Source organism: Homo sapiens, chromosome 16 (assembly GCF_000001405.40).
Source record: "Homo sapiens chromosome 16, GRCh38.p14 Primary Assembly".
Classification (NCBI taxonomy): Eukaryota; Metazoa; Chordata; class Mammalia; order Primates; family Hominidae; genus Homo; species Homo sapiens.
In genome coordinates, this window is record NC_000016.10 from 81585686 (window position 1) to 81601830 (window position 16145).

The 16145-nt window shown below is 50.1% G+C and overlaps 1 protein-coding gene across 5 annotated transcripts in view, besides 4 other annotated features; it reads left to right on the forward strand.

The window, feature by feature from the left end:
• CMIP (c-Maf inducing protein) overlaps positions 1–16145 on the forward strand; it is a 266955-nt gene that overhangs the window by 140878 nt on the left and 109932 nt on the right. The gene's annotated exons all lie outside the window — the stretch shown is intronic.
• Positions 6389–7237: an enhancer, noted in NCBI's record as "H3K4me1 hESC enhancer chr16:81625679-81626527 (GRCh37/hg19 assembly coordinates)". NCBI's record gives its function as "activates a minimal SCP1, AML or CMV promoter by ChIP-STARR-seq in primed H9 embryonic stem cells {active_cell/tissue: H9 hESC(primed)}" and the evidence as "EXISTENCE:reporter gene assay evidence [ECO:0000049][PMID:30033119]".
• Positions 6674–6818: an enhancer, noted in NCBI's record as "145 bp enhancer 117 fragment used in the MPRA reporter construct; PK_construct_2133". NCBI's record gives its function as "activates an SV40 promoter by MPRA in HepG2 cells {active_cell/tissue: HepG2}" and the evidence as "EXISTENCE:reporter gene assay evidence [ECO:0000049][PMID:23512712]".
• Positions 6740–6753: a transcriptional cis regulatory region, noted in NCBI's record as "HNF4 motif; enhancer activity is reduced when this motif is scrambled". NCBI's record gives its function as "necessary for full MPRA enhancer 117 activity {active_cell/tissue: HepG2}" and the evidence as "EXISTENCE:site-directed mutagenesis evidence [ECO:0005528][PMID:23512712]".
• Positions 7238–8085: an enhancer, noted in NCBI's record as "H3K4me1 hESC enhancer chr16:81626528-81627375 (GRCh37/hg19 assembly coordinates)". NCBI's record gives its function as "activates a minimal SCP1, AML or CMV promoter by ChIP-STARR-seq in naive H9 embryonic stem cells {active_cell/tissue: H9 hESC(naive)}" and the evidence as "EXISTENCE:reporter gene assay evidence [ECO:0000049][PMID:30033119]".

The following is a 16145-nucleotide window of genomic DNA, read 5'->3' on the forward strand; positions in this document are numbered from 1 at the left end:
GGCCAGTCCACTTCCCTGGACCTTAGAAATTCCTTTGCATCTGCTGGAGGATTGGGCTGGAGAAGAACCCCACCTGTCCTGACCCTGCAGCCCCAAATGCCCTTCCATGTCCCTGGCCCAGCAAAATCCTCCTCACTTCTCAAGATTCGGCTGTGAGCAGAGTTAGTGGCTGTCTTCCTCTTTACTGCTCTGTAAGAGTTGCTGCCCCTGTCGTAGCACCTGTCTCACCAGCACTGATCACCTCCCCCATTCTCCATGAGCTCCTGGAGCATGGTGCCCAGGGCGCTGCCGGGGAAGGCCTGTTAGTGAACGTGTGGTCCAGGGAACAAACGCATGGCATTCTCACAGCCGGACTCCATTGCTCCCTCTAGCTTCAGGGATTGGTCATGTTGTCATCTGTTTGTGCTCCTATCTTTTTTTTTTCCAGAAAGGATTTGGGGTGGGGGTGGGTCTAAACAGCTACTTGTAGAGACAGCCCCGCCCCACACCTACCTTCTGTCATCAGGACCCCACTTACCAGGCTCTTTCAGAGATGGGATTTTGGGCCCTATTGATGGGATAGTGAAATGGACAAAGCAACTTTACTACTATTTTGATAACACAGTTTACTGTAGTAGAGGCGTGATGCATCTCTTCTTGCATTGGAGGTGGTAATTTGTGGGTGCTATTATCATCGAAACAGCGATAGTAGAAAGAGATAGTCGTTCACTGCCTACTTGTTTGTAGACAGTAGCAACAGTGATCCTTGGGGGCCCAAGAGTCCCTCTTCACAAGGCCTGTTCACATACATTTACCTAGTGTCTCCCGTACTAGGAGAATTAAATCCCAGTAAGCCCTCACATTCCTCAGTGATCCGGTGTAACTCCAAGCACTGTAGCCTGCCACGCAAGGCTCTCTGTAATCGAGATTTAATCAGTTTTTATGACTCACCTCCTTCAACTTCTCTCTCTCTGCCCAATAAACTCCTATTCATCCTTCAAAGCCCAACTCAAACATCGCATACTCTCTGAAGTATTCGTCCCACTTTCCCTCGGGCTCCTCTGCCTCCACACCTGCACACATACACATGGAATTCTACTAATGTGTAGACATCTGACTCCCCACTCAACTGTGGAGTCCTTAAGGAAGGGGTTCTGGACTATGTCACACAGATGTTAGACAAATGAACCGAGGGGGCATTTGCATGGGTGCTTAAAGTGAGGTAAAGGAGAGAAGAAAGTAGAGAACTCAAAGAGGAGAGCTCGCTGGATTCAAATCTGGGGTGTTCCGGAATTCTAGGTATTCACCTAAGTCTGTTGGGACCCATGAGCTGTTTTCCCAATTTAGAAAAGTAAAGAACAGGCTACATGAGATGAAATCTGTGTGGTTGGTTTTTGTTTTTGATGCAGTGTGTGCAGTGTGATTCCCTAATAGCAGTTAACTGGTATTGATTTGAAACAGAAATGCAGAAGGGCAGGGAGTCAGAGGTGTTTATACAGGAGAAAGGGAACCTGCATGACTCATTACCACGGGGCAGGGTCTAGGGGAGCGCACTGGACACTGGAGCCAGCTTTACAGCTGGGGTCCACTCTGATGGGGCCGCCCATTCCTGGGCTGTACCAGCGATTAAACATTTGAAACACCACCTCTGCTCATTATATGATGAGTATGTTTGGTAGGCAGAATTTTGAAAGGTGGAGTGCTGTGGGTGGAATCGATGAGGCGGTCAGTCTGTGTCTGTGCCATATGTACTCGGGGGCCTGTGACCCAGTGGGGGGCCGGTTTCACCTCTGTTCAGCCAGAGCCACCACAAAGTCCTTGCTTCCCCAGCTGCTGCACAGATTGCGCAGATCATCATCCCCATCACGGTAAAGCTTTGAGGTGGGTGTTCTTCTCATTCCCATTTTACCAATGAAAAAACCAAAGGTGCTAGAGATGAAGTGGCCGCCAAAGGCCACCCAATGGGTGAGCTACAGCGCTGGAGTGGGAATCTCAGCCGTCTCTGCTCCATCTTCCAGAACTTTCCTCTACTGCTCCTGACTTCCTGAAGTGACCAAACCTGTCTCTCCCTCCTCCCCTGACTTCAGGGAGCAGATTTTTCATGGTGATTTTAGAGAGCACACGTTGATCCCCTCCTGAGGGTGAGAGCCTCAGATGTTTTGGGCCTGACTGTCCAGCCTCCTGGAGAAAGGTGGCCAGGTCCGTGTGTGGACAGCCAGTGTGCGGGTGCATGAGTCAAGCTCCCTTGTCACATATCCTGGAAACCCTCCATGGAAGCCTGCAGCCCCCAGGCCAGCGCTGAGGCAGGAACGGTCAGGGATTTCCCACTTGAAACACACCGTCTAAGGCTGCCGGCTCTTGCTTCCCCAGGAACTACTGCATTTGTCTTGATATTATACCCTGCCTGCCTCCAAGAGGACCGAGGCTTTTCAGAGCTGAGACACTGTGTGGAAGGAGGCAATTAGGATCAAACAGAACGAGACCCTCCGGATCCCCAGGGCTGGGCCGATCACCCCAAGCTTTGTTTGGCCGTCTCGGAGCTCTCTGTTGAGGTAGCAGAAAGGGAAAGACGGCTTGCATAGTTTTTGTTTTTTGGCCAGAAAAAGTACCCAAGTCTGTCTTTCAAAGTAGATGCCTTTCTTCTCTCTCTCTTTTTCCCCAGTCCCAGATTAAACCTCTTTTTAAGAGATTTGGGGGAGACTTGTCCCTTCCAGTTGATTCTCTGAAGGCAGAAGTTTTCTCTTTAAATCTGGAGCCACGCTTGTCAGGTGTGGTCCCGGTGTGCCACCGTCCATTGACCTCGTTTACGGGCAGGGTGCTGTACCTTGGGAGGCGCTGAGCAGTAGCCCCAGTGCTTCTCCAGCATTGTCGGTGTGACAATTACATCATTACCTACTTCTTCTGAAATGACATGGCCATGGCTTCAGTAATTGCCAAAACCCAACATCCTCGTTCTCTGTTATCTGCTTGGTTTGCTTTTCACCTACGCTTATCATCACTTAACATCCTGTGTATTTCACTTATTTGTCTTTTCTGTCTGTCTCCCCCAGCATGCAGGAGACCCTGTGAAAGCCGGTGTGCTGTTTAGTCGTGGGGCACAGCAGGCCCTCTGTGCTGTACACGCTGACATTCATTGAGCACTTACCATGAGCCAGACGTGGGCCTCCCGTCGTCTTCCTGTGGCCCTGTCTCCTGGCCTCTATCACTCCCATTTCACAGATGAGGAGACCGAGGTTCATAAAGCCCAACTGGCTCTCTAGCTGGGAGTCTCACAGCCTGTAAGAGGCAGAGCTGAGATATAAAGTCAGGTTTTCTGTTCTCAAAGCTGTGTTCTTTACCATTACAACTTGAGAAAAATGTATGAAAGGCCATAAACATATTCCGGTGCTCAGAATATTGTATTGCTTTTTTTTTTTCCTTTTCTTTCTTTGTTTTTCTTTTCTTTTTGAGGCAGTGTGTCACCCTGTGGTCCAGGCTGCTGCAGTGCAGTGGCGTGATCTCGGCTCACTGCAACCACTGCCTCCTTGATTCAAGCGATTCTCCTGCGTCAGCTTCCCAAGTAGCTGGGACTACAGGCGTGCACCACCACACCCGGGTAATTTTTCTGTTTTTAGTAGAGACGGGGTTTCTCCATGTTACCCTGGCTGGTCTCGAACTCCTGGGGTCAAGTGATCCATCCTTCTTTGCCTCCCAAAATGATGGGATTACAGGCATGAGCCACCACACCTGGCCTTGTCTTGCTTTTCAACAAATTTATATTCATGACAATAGTAACTACCTATATTAGAAGCACAGTAGAAACATATATGCAGACTTGTGTTTTTTTTTTTTTTTTCCACCCTATGGCGAGTGCTTATGGGCAGGGCCAGGTCTCGCACCCCATGGCAGCCAGCCTGGCCCATGCCGGGCACTCTGGTCTCTCTGTGGGACGATGCAGGCATGCATGGCAAGAAAAATCCCAAAGCAGTCCCCTGAGCCCCTGCCATGGTCTGTGTCCATAGATGCATAACCATCGATTCAGCGCAATGTAGTATTTTCGAAGAAAAGTTTTTGTTGAACCAGATAAAATGCATACAGAGAAGCACACATACTCAGGCTTCATAAAAAGTAGCCTTCTCTCTGTCCCTTCCTCCCTCTCTCAACTTGTCATGGACATAGCGGGTAAACTTAAGGCGCTGAATGAATCTGTTTAGTGAAAAATATAAGTAAAACGACAAAGTGTACCTCAATGGCGTGTGTAATGATAGGCCGGCGTCAGCCCTGGGTCCCTCAAGATCTCAGAGAAGACATTCTGAGTCCTGTGGGGGATGGATTGATGGGGCAGGGGGTGACAGCAGGTGTCCGGAGGCTGGAGGCCCAGGGATTGACTGCAGGGGCTGCCCTCAGGGCACAGAGCTTCTGAAGCTCACTAGGGCCTCAGGATAGACCAGCAGGACTCCTGAGAGGAGGAAGAGAGGCAGCCCTGTCTGCCAGCCTGGACACTTGGCGGGGAACCCTGGGAATGACCACGCCCCTCTGAGCCTCCGTTTCCCTCTGCTCGTCGGACAAAAACATCCCTCCCATTCTTTTCCTCCCTCCCATTCCTTCCCTACCTCCCATTCCTTCGTCTCAACCTCTTTTCCTGGTATTCTCTTGAAGGCTGTGTTGCTGGAAGGCACTGTCCCCAGCTTTCTTGACACTGTCAGAGGGTGTCCAAAGGAGGCTTCTGTCACACTGGCTCATTCCCATGATTTCGGGAACAAGAGAGAGATGTGGGTCACCTTGTCCGGGGTCCTGGCAGCTCACTTCTGGATCATGTCCAGCAGCCTCGCTTCCCCAAGTGGATGTGGGTGTCCCTGGGAGAGAAAACCCATGTCGCCCGGCTTCTGGGCCATCTGCTTTCTTTTAGGGATGGGCCCAAGGAATTTTTCGGCAAATTTGTCCTCTGGGAAATTTCTGCAGAACTTGTCTGATGCTTCCATAGAACTTAGGGATTGGGTTAAGGCCAGTTCCTAGGAGAGACATTGCAGAAATGAGGGCCTTAGGATGTCTCAGTAGGACCCAGTCCTGGCGTAAACAACAAATAACAAACTAAACCTCTCACCTACACACCCACTGAAACATCTTTTGGTTCTCTGTGCAAAGAAAGCAAGGAGAGAAAACATATTCTCACTTTCTCTCATCCATCCATCCATCCATCCATCCATCCATCCATCCATCCATCCATCACATTTCTATTTCCTCTTGAATGGTTTAGATCAGGGTTGGACCCACTACTTGTCTTTGTAAATAAAGTTTTATTGGAACACAACCATGATCATTTGTGTATTGTCTGTGGCTGCTTTCACACCACAACAGCACTGCTGACAGTTGTGAGACAGGGCATATGGCCCACAAAGCCTGAAGAATTTTCTCTCTGGCCCTTTACAGAAAATGTTTGCTAAGCTCTGATTTAGAGTTATAGCAGATTCAAATCCTGGCTTCATTAATAACTAGCAGCATCACTTAAGAAAAGTTATTTCTCTTCTGTGGGCCTCAGTTTTCTCATCTATAAAATGGGATCATAATGGTACCCCTGGCATGGGTCATTCGTGGGGAGATGTCTTTGAGCAGTTGACCCAGTATCTGGCACACATGAGGTCTTTAATCAAGTCACATTACTCTGGACACCAGCTAAGGTGCCAGATAGAGATGTAAGGTGCTATTTTAAGGAACTCACAACACAAACAGCTGGAGACAGTGCACAGAAGGTACTGGGGTTGAGGCGTGTCCCGGGCTTGTGAGAACCCAGAGGCAGAGTGCCCTTCTTTCCATACTGGCATCTGGGGGAGGAGCACTACTTAGCGATTCAAAGACAAATGAGCTGCAGGTGCACACAGCCACATGGATGAAGCTCTCAGACATCATACTGGCCAAAACAAGCCAGACACAAATGTGCATCTGCTGTGTGATTGCATTTATAACATGTTGAGGAACAGGCAGAGCTAATCTGTAGAGATGGAGGTCAACACTCCGGACCTTCTGGGCTGGGAAGGGGAGCAGGGGAGCCCCCAGGGCATGGAGATGCTCCCCATCTTGGCCTGGCTGGCAGGTGCACAGGGGTGTGCATTGTCAGAATGAACCCACTGAAGATTTCTGCCCTTCTGCTTGTTATGCAGTTTACTGGTTTTCTTTCTTTCTTTCTTTCTTTTTTTTTTTTGAGACAGGGTCTCGTGCTGTCACCTAGGCTAGAGTGTAGTGACGTGATCTTGGCTCACTGCACCCTCCACCTCCCAGGCTCAAGTATCCTCCTGCCTCAGCCTCCCAGGTAGCTGGGATTACAGGCGCCTGCCACCACACATGGCTAGTTTTTGTGTTTTTAGTAGAGACAGGGTTTTGCTATGTTGCCCTGGCTGGTCTCAAACTCCTGGGCTCAAGTGATCCTCCTGCCTTGGCCTCCCAAAGTGCCGGGATTACAGGCATGAGCCACTGCGCCTGGCTGCAGTTTACTGTTTATATTTTACTTTTTTATGCACCTTACTGTTTACATCTTAATTTTTTATAAAAGAAAGGAATGGAAAGAGAGAAAGAATAAGAGAGAGGATTCAGAAATGGGAGAAGCTTGGGCAGTCGAGGGCTATCTCCTGGTCTGTGTCCTGTCTCAGGCCCCTGCCTGAGACATCCTTGTACCCAAGCCTCCTCTGACAACTTCTCATTCCAGACCAGGGTCGCACAAACTCTGGCTCCTTGTGCTGTTTCCTTGGCGGAGAATGCCTGGCGCTCCCCTCCTTACCTTGACAGCCGGCTCAAAGGCCACCTCTGGGCAGCCCTCCCCGTGTTCCAGGGTGCCCCTCCCTCCTGTCCTTGCCCTTTGTACCGGACCCTCCTCCTTCCTCCTGCGGTGCCTTTGGCACTGTGGTGTTGTTACTTTGCACTCCCCATTACTTTGCACCCTCCGCTCACCCTGCTCATCCTGGGGCTCCCAGGCCAGTGTCTGGTAGAAGCAAGGCAGGACTCAAAACAACAGTCCTGGCTTCCATGTGGCCGTTCCACTGAGCGGCTGTGACCGAGGCCCACTGCTTGATGGACCCGAACCTCCTTTTCTCCTCCATGGAACTGGGGAGTCTTAGCAGTGCCCCTTTCCCAGGATCCTTGGGAAGTATCCATGAGATGAAGATGGTCCCTGGAGGCTGCTTTGGTGAGGACCTGGCATGTGGCATGTGCCCAGTCCAGGCTGGCTGCTGTGGGCCTTCCAAATGCATGTGACTTGGCAGTTGGAAATGATGCTGACTTTAGGGCATCTTTGTGTCCATCACCTGTTCCAATGGCAAAGGTGCCCAGTGGCACAGATGCCAAGGGCTGCACCCTGGGGACCCAGATTTTCATCCCTCTTCTCATGCCCACGAAGATGACTGGGGCTGGAGGGGTTTGAATGTGGAAATATCAGTCGTTTGCTCTATTATTAAACCTTGAGCCATGTGGCCATAAAAGGGGGTGGCTGCCATAGCTGGTTTCGTGATTAATGAGCCCACGTCCTGCCTCTTGACCGTCTCCACAGAGCCCCAGGCACCAGCTCTGCCCTCCCAGCCCAGCTGCAGGCTGTGCTGCTGAGGTCTGGGCAGCAGAGAAGGGTGCCTGGAGGGTCTTTCTGTCGTCTTGATGAACCCATGACCCCTCCTGGGTCCCCAAGGAGAGTTGGGTATTGTAGGCTTGGTTGAGATTGGCGAGAGGTGGTGTTGTGCCTAGCCTGGGGGGTTGGAGGGCGGGGGGAGTTTCTGCTCTGCAGCCCTGTGATGCGCAGGTGCCATCGGGTCTCTGACCCCAGGCCATCAAGAGCTGTGCGACCTGCTTGCCATCCATCATGTGGAGCTGGTCGGTCACCCCATGCACCAGGCCGACTCCAAGCCGGAGCTTTCCTCTCCGCTCTTTTCGGAGTAATCCGTGGATGATGGAGGAGCTTGGCAAGCATTTCAGCAAAGCTCTTTTTTCTTGTTGAGGCTTGAAAGTAATCGCCTCCGTGTATTGAGTGCCCGCCGACCACCTGGCGCGTCTGGGCATTGAGCTCATTGGCCGCTGGCACAAATGGATCCTCGCCTCACCCGGTGCCTGCCTGTAGCCTCTCCCATCTGCTTTCTCACAGCTACACTCCCTCCCTAGCACCCTCTTGAGGAGTCTGGGGGAGGGGGCAGCATAATCATAGTTACCTGTATCAGATGCTCACCTGTGCTGAGCACGCCACATGCCCTGGCCCATTCAGGTGCTCTCTGCAAACACCCTTAAGGCAGGTACAGTATTCCTTCCCTTCCCTCTTCCCTCTACCCTTACCTTCCCCCTACCATACCTTTCCTCCTCCTGCTCCTCCTCCCCCTCCTCCCCCTCTTTCCTCCTCTTCCTCCCCCCCTTCTCCTCCTCCTCCCCCTCCTTCTCCTCCTCCTCTTCCCCCTCCCCCTCTTCCCCCGCTCCTCCTCCTCTTCCTCCCCCTCCTCCCCATTCTCCCCCCTCCTCCCTTTTTTGAGACAAGATCTGGCTCTGTTGCATGGGCTGGAGCGCACTGGTGCAATATCGGCTCAGTGCAACCTCCAACTCCTGGGTTCAAGTGATCCTCCCACCTCAGCCTCCCAAGTAGCTGGGACTACAGGCACCCACCACCATGCCTGGCTAATTGTTGTATTTTTTTGTAGAGACGGAGTTTCGCCATGTTGTCCAGGCTGGTCTTGAACTTAAGAGCTCAGAGCCATCCACCAGCCTCAGCCTCCCAAAGTGCTGGGCTGACAGGTGTGAGCCACCGCGCCTGGCCAGCATTACCTTTTTCTTAGTTGTAATCTAATTCAAAGTGTACAGTTGGGTTGATTTCACCGTACAGCAGTCCCCCCTTTCCCATGGGGGATATGTTCCAAGGCCCCCAGTGGATGCCTGAGACCTCGAATAGTACTAAATCCTATATACACTGTGTTTTTTCCTAAACATATATATACCTATGATAAAGTTTTTGTTTTTGTTTTTGTTTTTGAGACGGAGTCTCGCTCTGTTCCCCAGGCTGGAGTGCAGTGATGCGATCTCGGCTCACTGCAAGCTCTGCCTCCCGGGTTCATGCCATTCTCCTGCCTCAGCCTCCCAAGTAGTTGGGACTACAGGCGCCTGTCACCACGCCCAGCTAATTTTTTTTTTTTTTTTTTTTTTTGTATTTTGAGTAGAGACGGGGTTTTAGCATGTTAGCCAGAATGGTCTCAATCTCCTGACCTCATGATCCGCCCGCCTCGGCCTCCCAAAGTGCTGGGGATTACAGGTGTGAGCCACCGCGCCCGGCCATACCTATGATAAAGTTTAATTTATGAATTAGATACCATAAGAGATTAACAGCAGCAATTTAAAAAATAGAACAATATACTACAATAAAGGTAATATCATGTGGTCTCTCTCTCTCTCTCTCTCTCTCTCTCAAGACAGCTTAATATTTTCAGACCATAGTTGACCACTGGTAACTGAAACCTCTGAAAGTGAAATCTCAGATTAGGGAGGACTGCTGGATTCACCAGGTTGTACAACAATCACTACTAATTCTAGAACATTTTCATCCCCCAAAATGAAACCCCATACCCATTAGTATCATACCCCATTTCCCCGTCCCTGCCCTGGAAACCATGAACCCACTGTCTGTCTCTATGGATTTGCCTATTCTGGACATCTTACATAATTGGAATCATACAATGTGTGGTCTTTTGTGTGGCTTCTTTTGCTTTGTGTAATACTTTCTTTCCTTCTTTCTTTTTTTTTTTTTTTTTCTGAGACAGAGTCTTGCTCTGTTGCCCAGGCTGTAGTGCAGTGACACAATCTGAGCTCACTGCAGCTTCTGCCTGCCCTGTTCAAGCAGTTCTCCCACCTCAGCCTCTTGAGTAGCTGGGACTACAGGTGGATGCCACCATGCCTGGCTTATTTTTGTGTTTTTAGTGGAGGCACGGTTTCACCATGTTGGCCAGGCTGGTCTCAAACTCCTGACCTCAAGTGATCTGCCCACCTCGGCTTCCCAAAGTGCCAGGATTACAGGCATGAGCCACCACGCCTAGCCCGCATAATACTTTCAAGGTTCATCCATGTGGTAATGTCTTTTTTTTATCGCTGCATAATACTCCATTGAATGGATAGACAACATTTTGTTTATCCATCATCTGTTGATGGATACTGTTTCCATGTTTTGGTTCTTATGAGTCATTTTGCTTTGAATACTTGTGTGCATGTTTTTGTGTGAACCTATGTTTTCACAACTCTTAGATGTATATCTAGGAGTGGAATTACTGGGTCATACTTAACTTTTCGAAGAACTACCAAACTATTTTACAAAAAGCTGCCTGCATCATTTTACATTCACACTAGTGGTGTAAGCAGGTTTCACTTTCTCCACCTCTCCCTCAACACTTTTTTTTTGTCTACGTTCTTTTATTTATTTGGTTTTTCTCTATCCATCCTAGTGGGTATGAGTATAATCTCACTTTTACCAGGGAGAAAGTGGAGGCTCAGAGATACCAAGCGACTTGCCTAAGGCCAAGTTGTGGAGTTTGGATTCAGCTCTAGAAAATCTGATTTATTTTTTTAAAAAATCTTTCGGCCAGGCATGGTGGCTCACGCCTGTAATCCCAGCACTTTGGGAAGCCAAGGTGGGCAGATCACTTGAGGTCAGGAGTTCAAGACCAGCCTGGCCAACATGATGAAACCCCATCTCTACTAAAAGTACAGAAATTAGCTGTCTGTGGTGGGGCACGCCTATAGTCCCTGCTACTCGGGAGGCTGAGGGAAGAGAATCGCTTGAAGCCAAGGAGGCAGAGGTTGCAGTGAGCCAGGATCGTGCCATTGCATTCCAGCCTGGGCAACAGAGAAAGGCCCTGTCTCAAAAAAAAAAAAAAAAAAAAATTTCAATTGGAACATTGCATACACACAAAAGAGTACACACATTGTATACTGCTTGATGAACTTTAACAAAGTGAACACCCTGTATCACCAACAGCCAGAATCCAGACCTAGAATGCTGCCAGCCCTCCCCAGAAGCTCCTATTTGCCTTTTTCCAGCGCCATCCCTCCATGGGGTAACCAGTAGGATCAACACCATGTCCTGGTTTTCCCAGGATTTTCCCAATAGAGTAGTGACCATTCAACATCCCAAGAAACCCTTTAGTCCTAGGCATACCAGACAATTGGTCACCCCAATAACCAGTACCCTGACTTCCCACAGCACAGACTCAGGTGCACCTCTTTCTGAAGTTTGTATGGGTGGAAGCACATGGTGATGTACATTGATGACATGCTTCTGTCCAGTTGCTTTTGCTCCATGCTCAGTTTGTGTAGGTCATCTATGTGTTGTGCATAGTTGTAGACCATACATTCTCATCATTTAGGCTTCTGCTGAGTGGATATACCAGGATTTCTTTATTCATTCTTCTCTTGATGGTCATTTGGGTAGTTTCTAGTTTGGGCTACCTAATGCTCAGGGAACACTTGTGCAAACATCTTTGGGAGCACAAATATGGGCCTTTCTGTGGAGGAAGGGGATTGCTGGGTTCTAGGGGACTCATGTTCAGCTTCAGCAGAGCTGTCACAAGGTGGATTCACAGTTTAACTCCCTCCAGCAATTTAGGATTCTGTTTGCACTGTGTCTGTGCCAACACTTATCATTTTTCATCTTTTCCATTTGAGCCAGTCTGCTGGTATGATGGTCTCATACTCTGGTAACCCCTCTGGTCTTTAACTTACTAGTTGCCTGTAGACAAAGGCCAGGGCGTGAAGTCCAAAGGTCTTGGTTTTCTTCCCAGCTCTCTCCTGAATAGCTGTGTGCGGTTGGTCAAGTTGTGCACCTGCTCAGAGTGTTCATTTCTGGTCTGTCATGAGAGTGATGCAATACCTTCCTCTTGCAGGATTGTGGGATTAAGGGCTTGTGGAGGTGGGAAGAGCCCTGGAGATGTGGGAGGTGAGCGAGGGGAGCGGGGGGGGGGGAGTCTCCCAGCCTGGAAGGTCCTGGGACTAGAGCAGGGGGCGGGACACCTGCACCCAGGCCCTCCACCAACTCCGTGGGGCTCCAGCAGGGGCTTGGGCCAGTTCCCCCATTCAGCTTCCTTTTGGGGTTCCTCTGAGTCTTGTTGGACACTCAACTGTCAAAGATGCCCAGTGGCACATATGAAAAGTGCCACACTCAAGGACACAGATTTCTGTTCCTCTCACCAGCCATCTTCAGGGATCATCTGTCTCCCCCCCAGCTTGATGGCTCTGTGATGGCAGAGCCGTGTCCCTCTCCATCACTGGCCTATCCCCAGGTCTGGGCATAGGGTTGCACCTAGGAGGCCTCTGCTTGTTGAATGACTTCATGAATTCAGTCCTTAGGTGACAGCTCTTATCCAGGGAGGGGACTGGAGGATCAGGACATAACTGTTCCCCTGTAGTTCTGAGTCTCGGTTTCCTCATCTGTGTGGTTTTTAAAAGTACTAATCCTGACCACAAGGCTGGCTGGGAGGATGAATGTGCTCGGGAAGAAGGTGTTTTGGAAACTGGCACACGCTAGAGAAGTGGAGGGTATCGCCTACAACAGAGCTGACCAACAGGAGGGTATCGCCTACAACAGAGCTGACCAACGGGGGTATCGTCTACAACAGAGCTGACCAACAGGAGGGTATCGCCTACAACAGAGCTGACCAACAGGGCGGCGCCTGGCCACATCTGGCTCTTTACAGTCAAATTAACAAAAATTAAACAAAATGTGTAATTTGGTTCCTCCACCACACTGGCCATATTTCAGGTGCTCAGTGGCCCACAGGTGGCTACAGCATTGGCCAGTGCAGATACGGAGCGTTTGCATCATCACAGACGATCCTGTAGGGCAGTGCCAGTATCAACTCATTTAGGCTACAAAGAACTTTAGAGCTATCACCAAGAAAGTAAGATCAAATAAAACACAAGAGGGATGTATTTTTCTCCCATGAGATTTTCTTGCTCAAAGCCTCATTACTTTTACTTTACACATGGTTCTAACAGACTGCATGCCCTGGTTTCACAGGCCACAACAGAAGAGCAGTAACGTTCGGCTGGGCATGGTGGCTCACACCTGTAATCCCAGCACTTTGAGAGACTGATGCATGCGGATCACCTGAGGTCAGGCGTTTGAGACCAGCCTGGCCAACATGGTGAAACCCCATGTCTACTAAAAAATAACAAAAATTATCTGGGCGTGGTGTTGTGTGCCTATAATCCCAGCTACTTGGGAGGCTGAGGCAGGAGAATCGCTTGAAGCCGGGAGGCGGGGGTTGCAGTGGGCCAAGATCATGCCAGTGTACTCCAGCCTGAGTGACAGAGCAAGACTCTGTCTCAAAAAAAAAAAAAAAAAAAAAAGAGTAGTAACCTTTTGAGGGCCTGGCATGGGGGAAGGTGCAGTGTCAAGTGTCAGCAAAAAGAACTGGTCAGTCGGCGTCTGGAGAATGGTTGGAGAAACCATACAAAATAGACACAGTCACCCCAACTCTGCAGCCATTGAGAAAGGTGCAGGCAGCTCCCCTGTGCCCACAACACCAAGGGCACAGCTGGGTTGCAGCCCAGCTCACCAGTGGATCACAGTAATAATAACAACAGCCCCGGGGCAAGGAGAGGTCATATTACCTGAGGGAAACCAGGGGAGGGAGAGTGTGAACGGCATTTGAGATTTCTTCTGGGACCAAGGCCCAAACCGGCCCTTCTAGGATCATATCGTTACCTGCCACTTTGCGTTTGCTGTATGACTTTCCGTTTGTGAGATTAAAAAGAACATGAAATATTTTGACGGGCCTTCCCCAAATGAGCATCCATGGGTTTCTGCCTTGGAGGCCAAGCTGATCTATAGGTGTCTGAGGACCTGCTGCGTGGGGTAGCAACAGAAGGGTGGACCTGAGGCCCCTGCCATGCTGGTTCCAGCTGTGGCTTTGGCTGTGGTCCCAGCTCCTTTCTCATAATATGTACTTGAGGTGTGTGAGCACAAAGGTACACAAATTGGAGTTTGCCTCTGGCCAGAGGAATTTGGCATAACAGAGGGATGGAAGTTGCTGTCTTGGGGGGTTACGAAATTGAATCCTGGGCCTGTCTTATAAGAGCAGGAGGCCTGTGTGAGACATCCCCTGCTCTGTGCCTCAGTTTCTTCCTCTGTAGCATGTGGATAACAGGGATAAAAACAGCCTCCCCGCCTTAGCATTGTTGTCAAGTTAAATGAGGGATTATATATAAAGCTCTTAGCATGGTGCTGGCCACATGGTAACTGCTTGATGAATGTTAACCACGGGCACCTGTGAATGTCCATATGGGTGGGGTGTAGTGAGGCTAGCGTCTGCATAGCAGGTGTCCTTCCTTCTGTCATCATTAAAAAAAGATATATGGCAGCAGTGGTGGCTCACGCCTGTAATCCCAGCACTTTGGGAGGCAGAGGTGGGTGGATCACAAGGTCAGGAGTTCAAGAGCATCCTGACCAACATGGTGAAACCCTGTCTCTACTAAAATTACAAAAATTAGCCAGGAGTGGTGGTGGGTGACTGTAATCCCAGCTACTCAGGAGGCTGAGGCAGGAGAATCACTTGACGGGAGGCGGAGGTTGCAGTGAGCCAAGATCGCACCACTGCACTCCAGCCTAGGCGACAGAGTGAGACTCCATCTGAAAAAAAAAAAAAAAAAAAAAGATATATAAAGCTGGCTCTTCACTATAGTCAAAAGATAGAGACAATCCATGTGTCCATCAGCAGATGAATGTATAAACATGTGGCCTGCCCATACAATGGAATGTCAGTCAGCCATGAAAGGAATGCGGTTCCGACTCATGCCATAGCACAGATAAACCTCAAAAACAGTAAGTGAAAGGAGCCAGGCACAAACAGCCACAAAGTATGTGATGTCATTTATGTGACATGTCCAGAACAGGCAAGTCCCATTGATAGATACCAGGCTAGTGGCTGCCTGGCGCCTGGGGATGGGGTAGCAGGGAGTGACGACTTAATGGTATGGGGCTTCCTTTGGGAGTAAAAACATCTCAGAACTCGATAGAGATGATGGTGACACAGCATCAGGAATGGACTCAATGCCCGTGAATTGTACATCTTAAGTGATTAATGGTTAGTTTTACGTTCTGTGAATTTTACTTTGAATTTTAGAAATGCAGCCAGGGGAGGTGGGGACTGAAGCCCATTCTCCCAGCGCAAGCCACTTTGAGCACCACTGCGTATGACACTGTGATGGCAGCCTCATCATTAGTGTTGTTGGTGTTGTTGCTGTTGACTGTCTAAGCAGGGCTGCCATCCAACTTCTCGTTTCTCCTTTGGGGCCCCAGGGTGTGTGTGCAGGTCCAGCAAATCCTTCCTTACAGTGGGGTGGTGCCACGTGGAACCCGACTGTGCAGCATGGGTGTCCCCTGTGTGATAATTCAAGCCGCTTCCACGTAGGGAGAGAGGGGACTTGACTCCAGCCCAGCACATCCACCCAGCTGTCAGGGCCACACATGCCCCATGACAAACAGCTGCTGTTTTCAACCCCATCCCCGACTGGGCAAGGTTTCTCTGGCCTCGGGAATAAGCTCATGGGAGGATTTTCCAGACTGGCTTCTTTTGGGGTCCGGGAGCTCCTCCCTTCCCTGGCACATGTTTTGAGTCAGCCTGGACGTCATGATTCGTATTCACTTTGAGAGGAATCCCCATGGAAACCAGCAGGCAGGTTTGGGCAGGAGGGAGCTGGCTCACCACAAAGGCAAGGGAAGGCGAAGGCTAGGTGTCTTCTGCCAGCATCGGGGGCCCAATGGGGGCTCTTTCTGGGGGGGTCAGCTCACCCCATTCCCCACCCACTCTGGAAGCAGGTCTGAGGCCATATCTGGTTTGGAATGCCAGTTCTGAAGATCTCTGGGGGTTCACATGGGACCCTCATGAGGTCCTTCTAGGCCCTATTTTTTCCAGCCCAGATCCAGCATTGTGTGCCACTGGACAGGGGGCTCACCTGGAAACAGGCAGAGGTGAAGTATCTCTTCCTGGTCTGGCAAATGCAGGATCCCCCAAAACTAGCTCCATATCTGTCCCCGAGAGCAAAAAGACAAAGGCAGAGTTCACCGACCCATTCTCCAGCTCCCATGGAAGGCAGCGTCCCCCGGGGCCAGAACCCCAGCTTGTGGGCTGCCGCATCTCCAATACCCTCTGGGCACCGTCACCTTGCGGGCACTCAGTTAGCGAGCG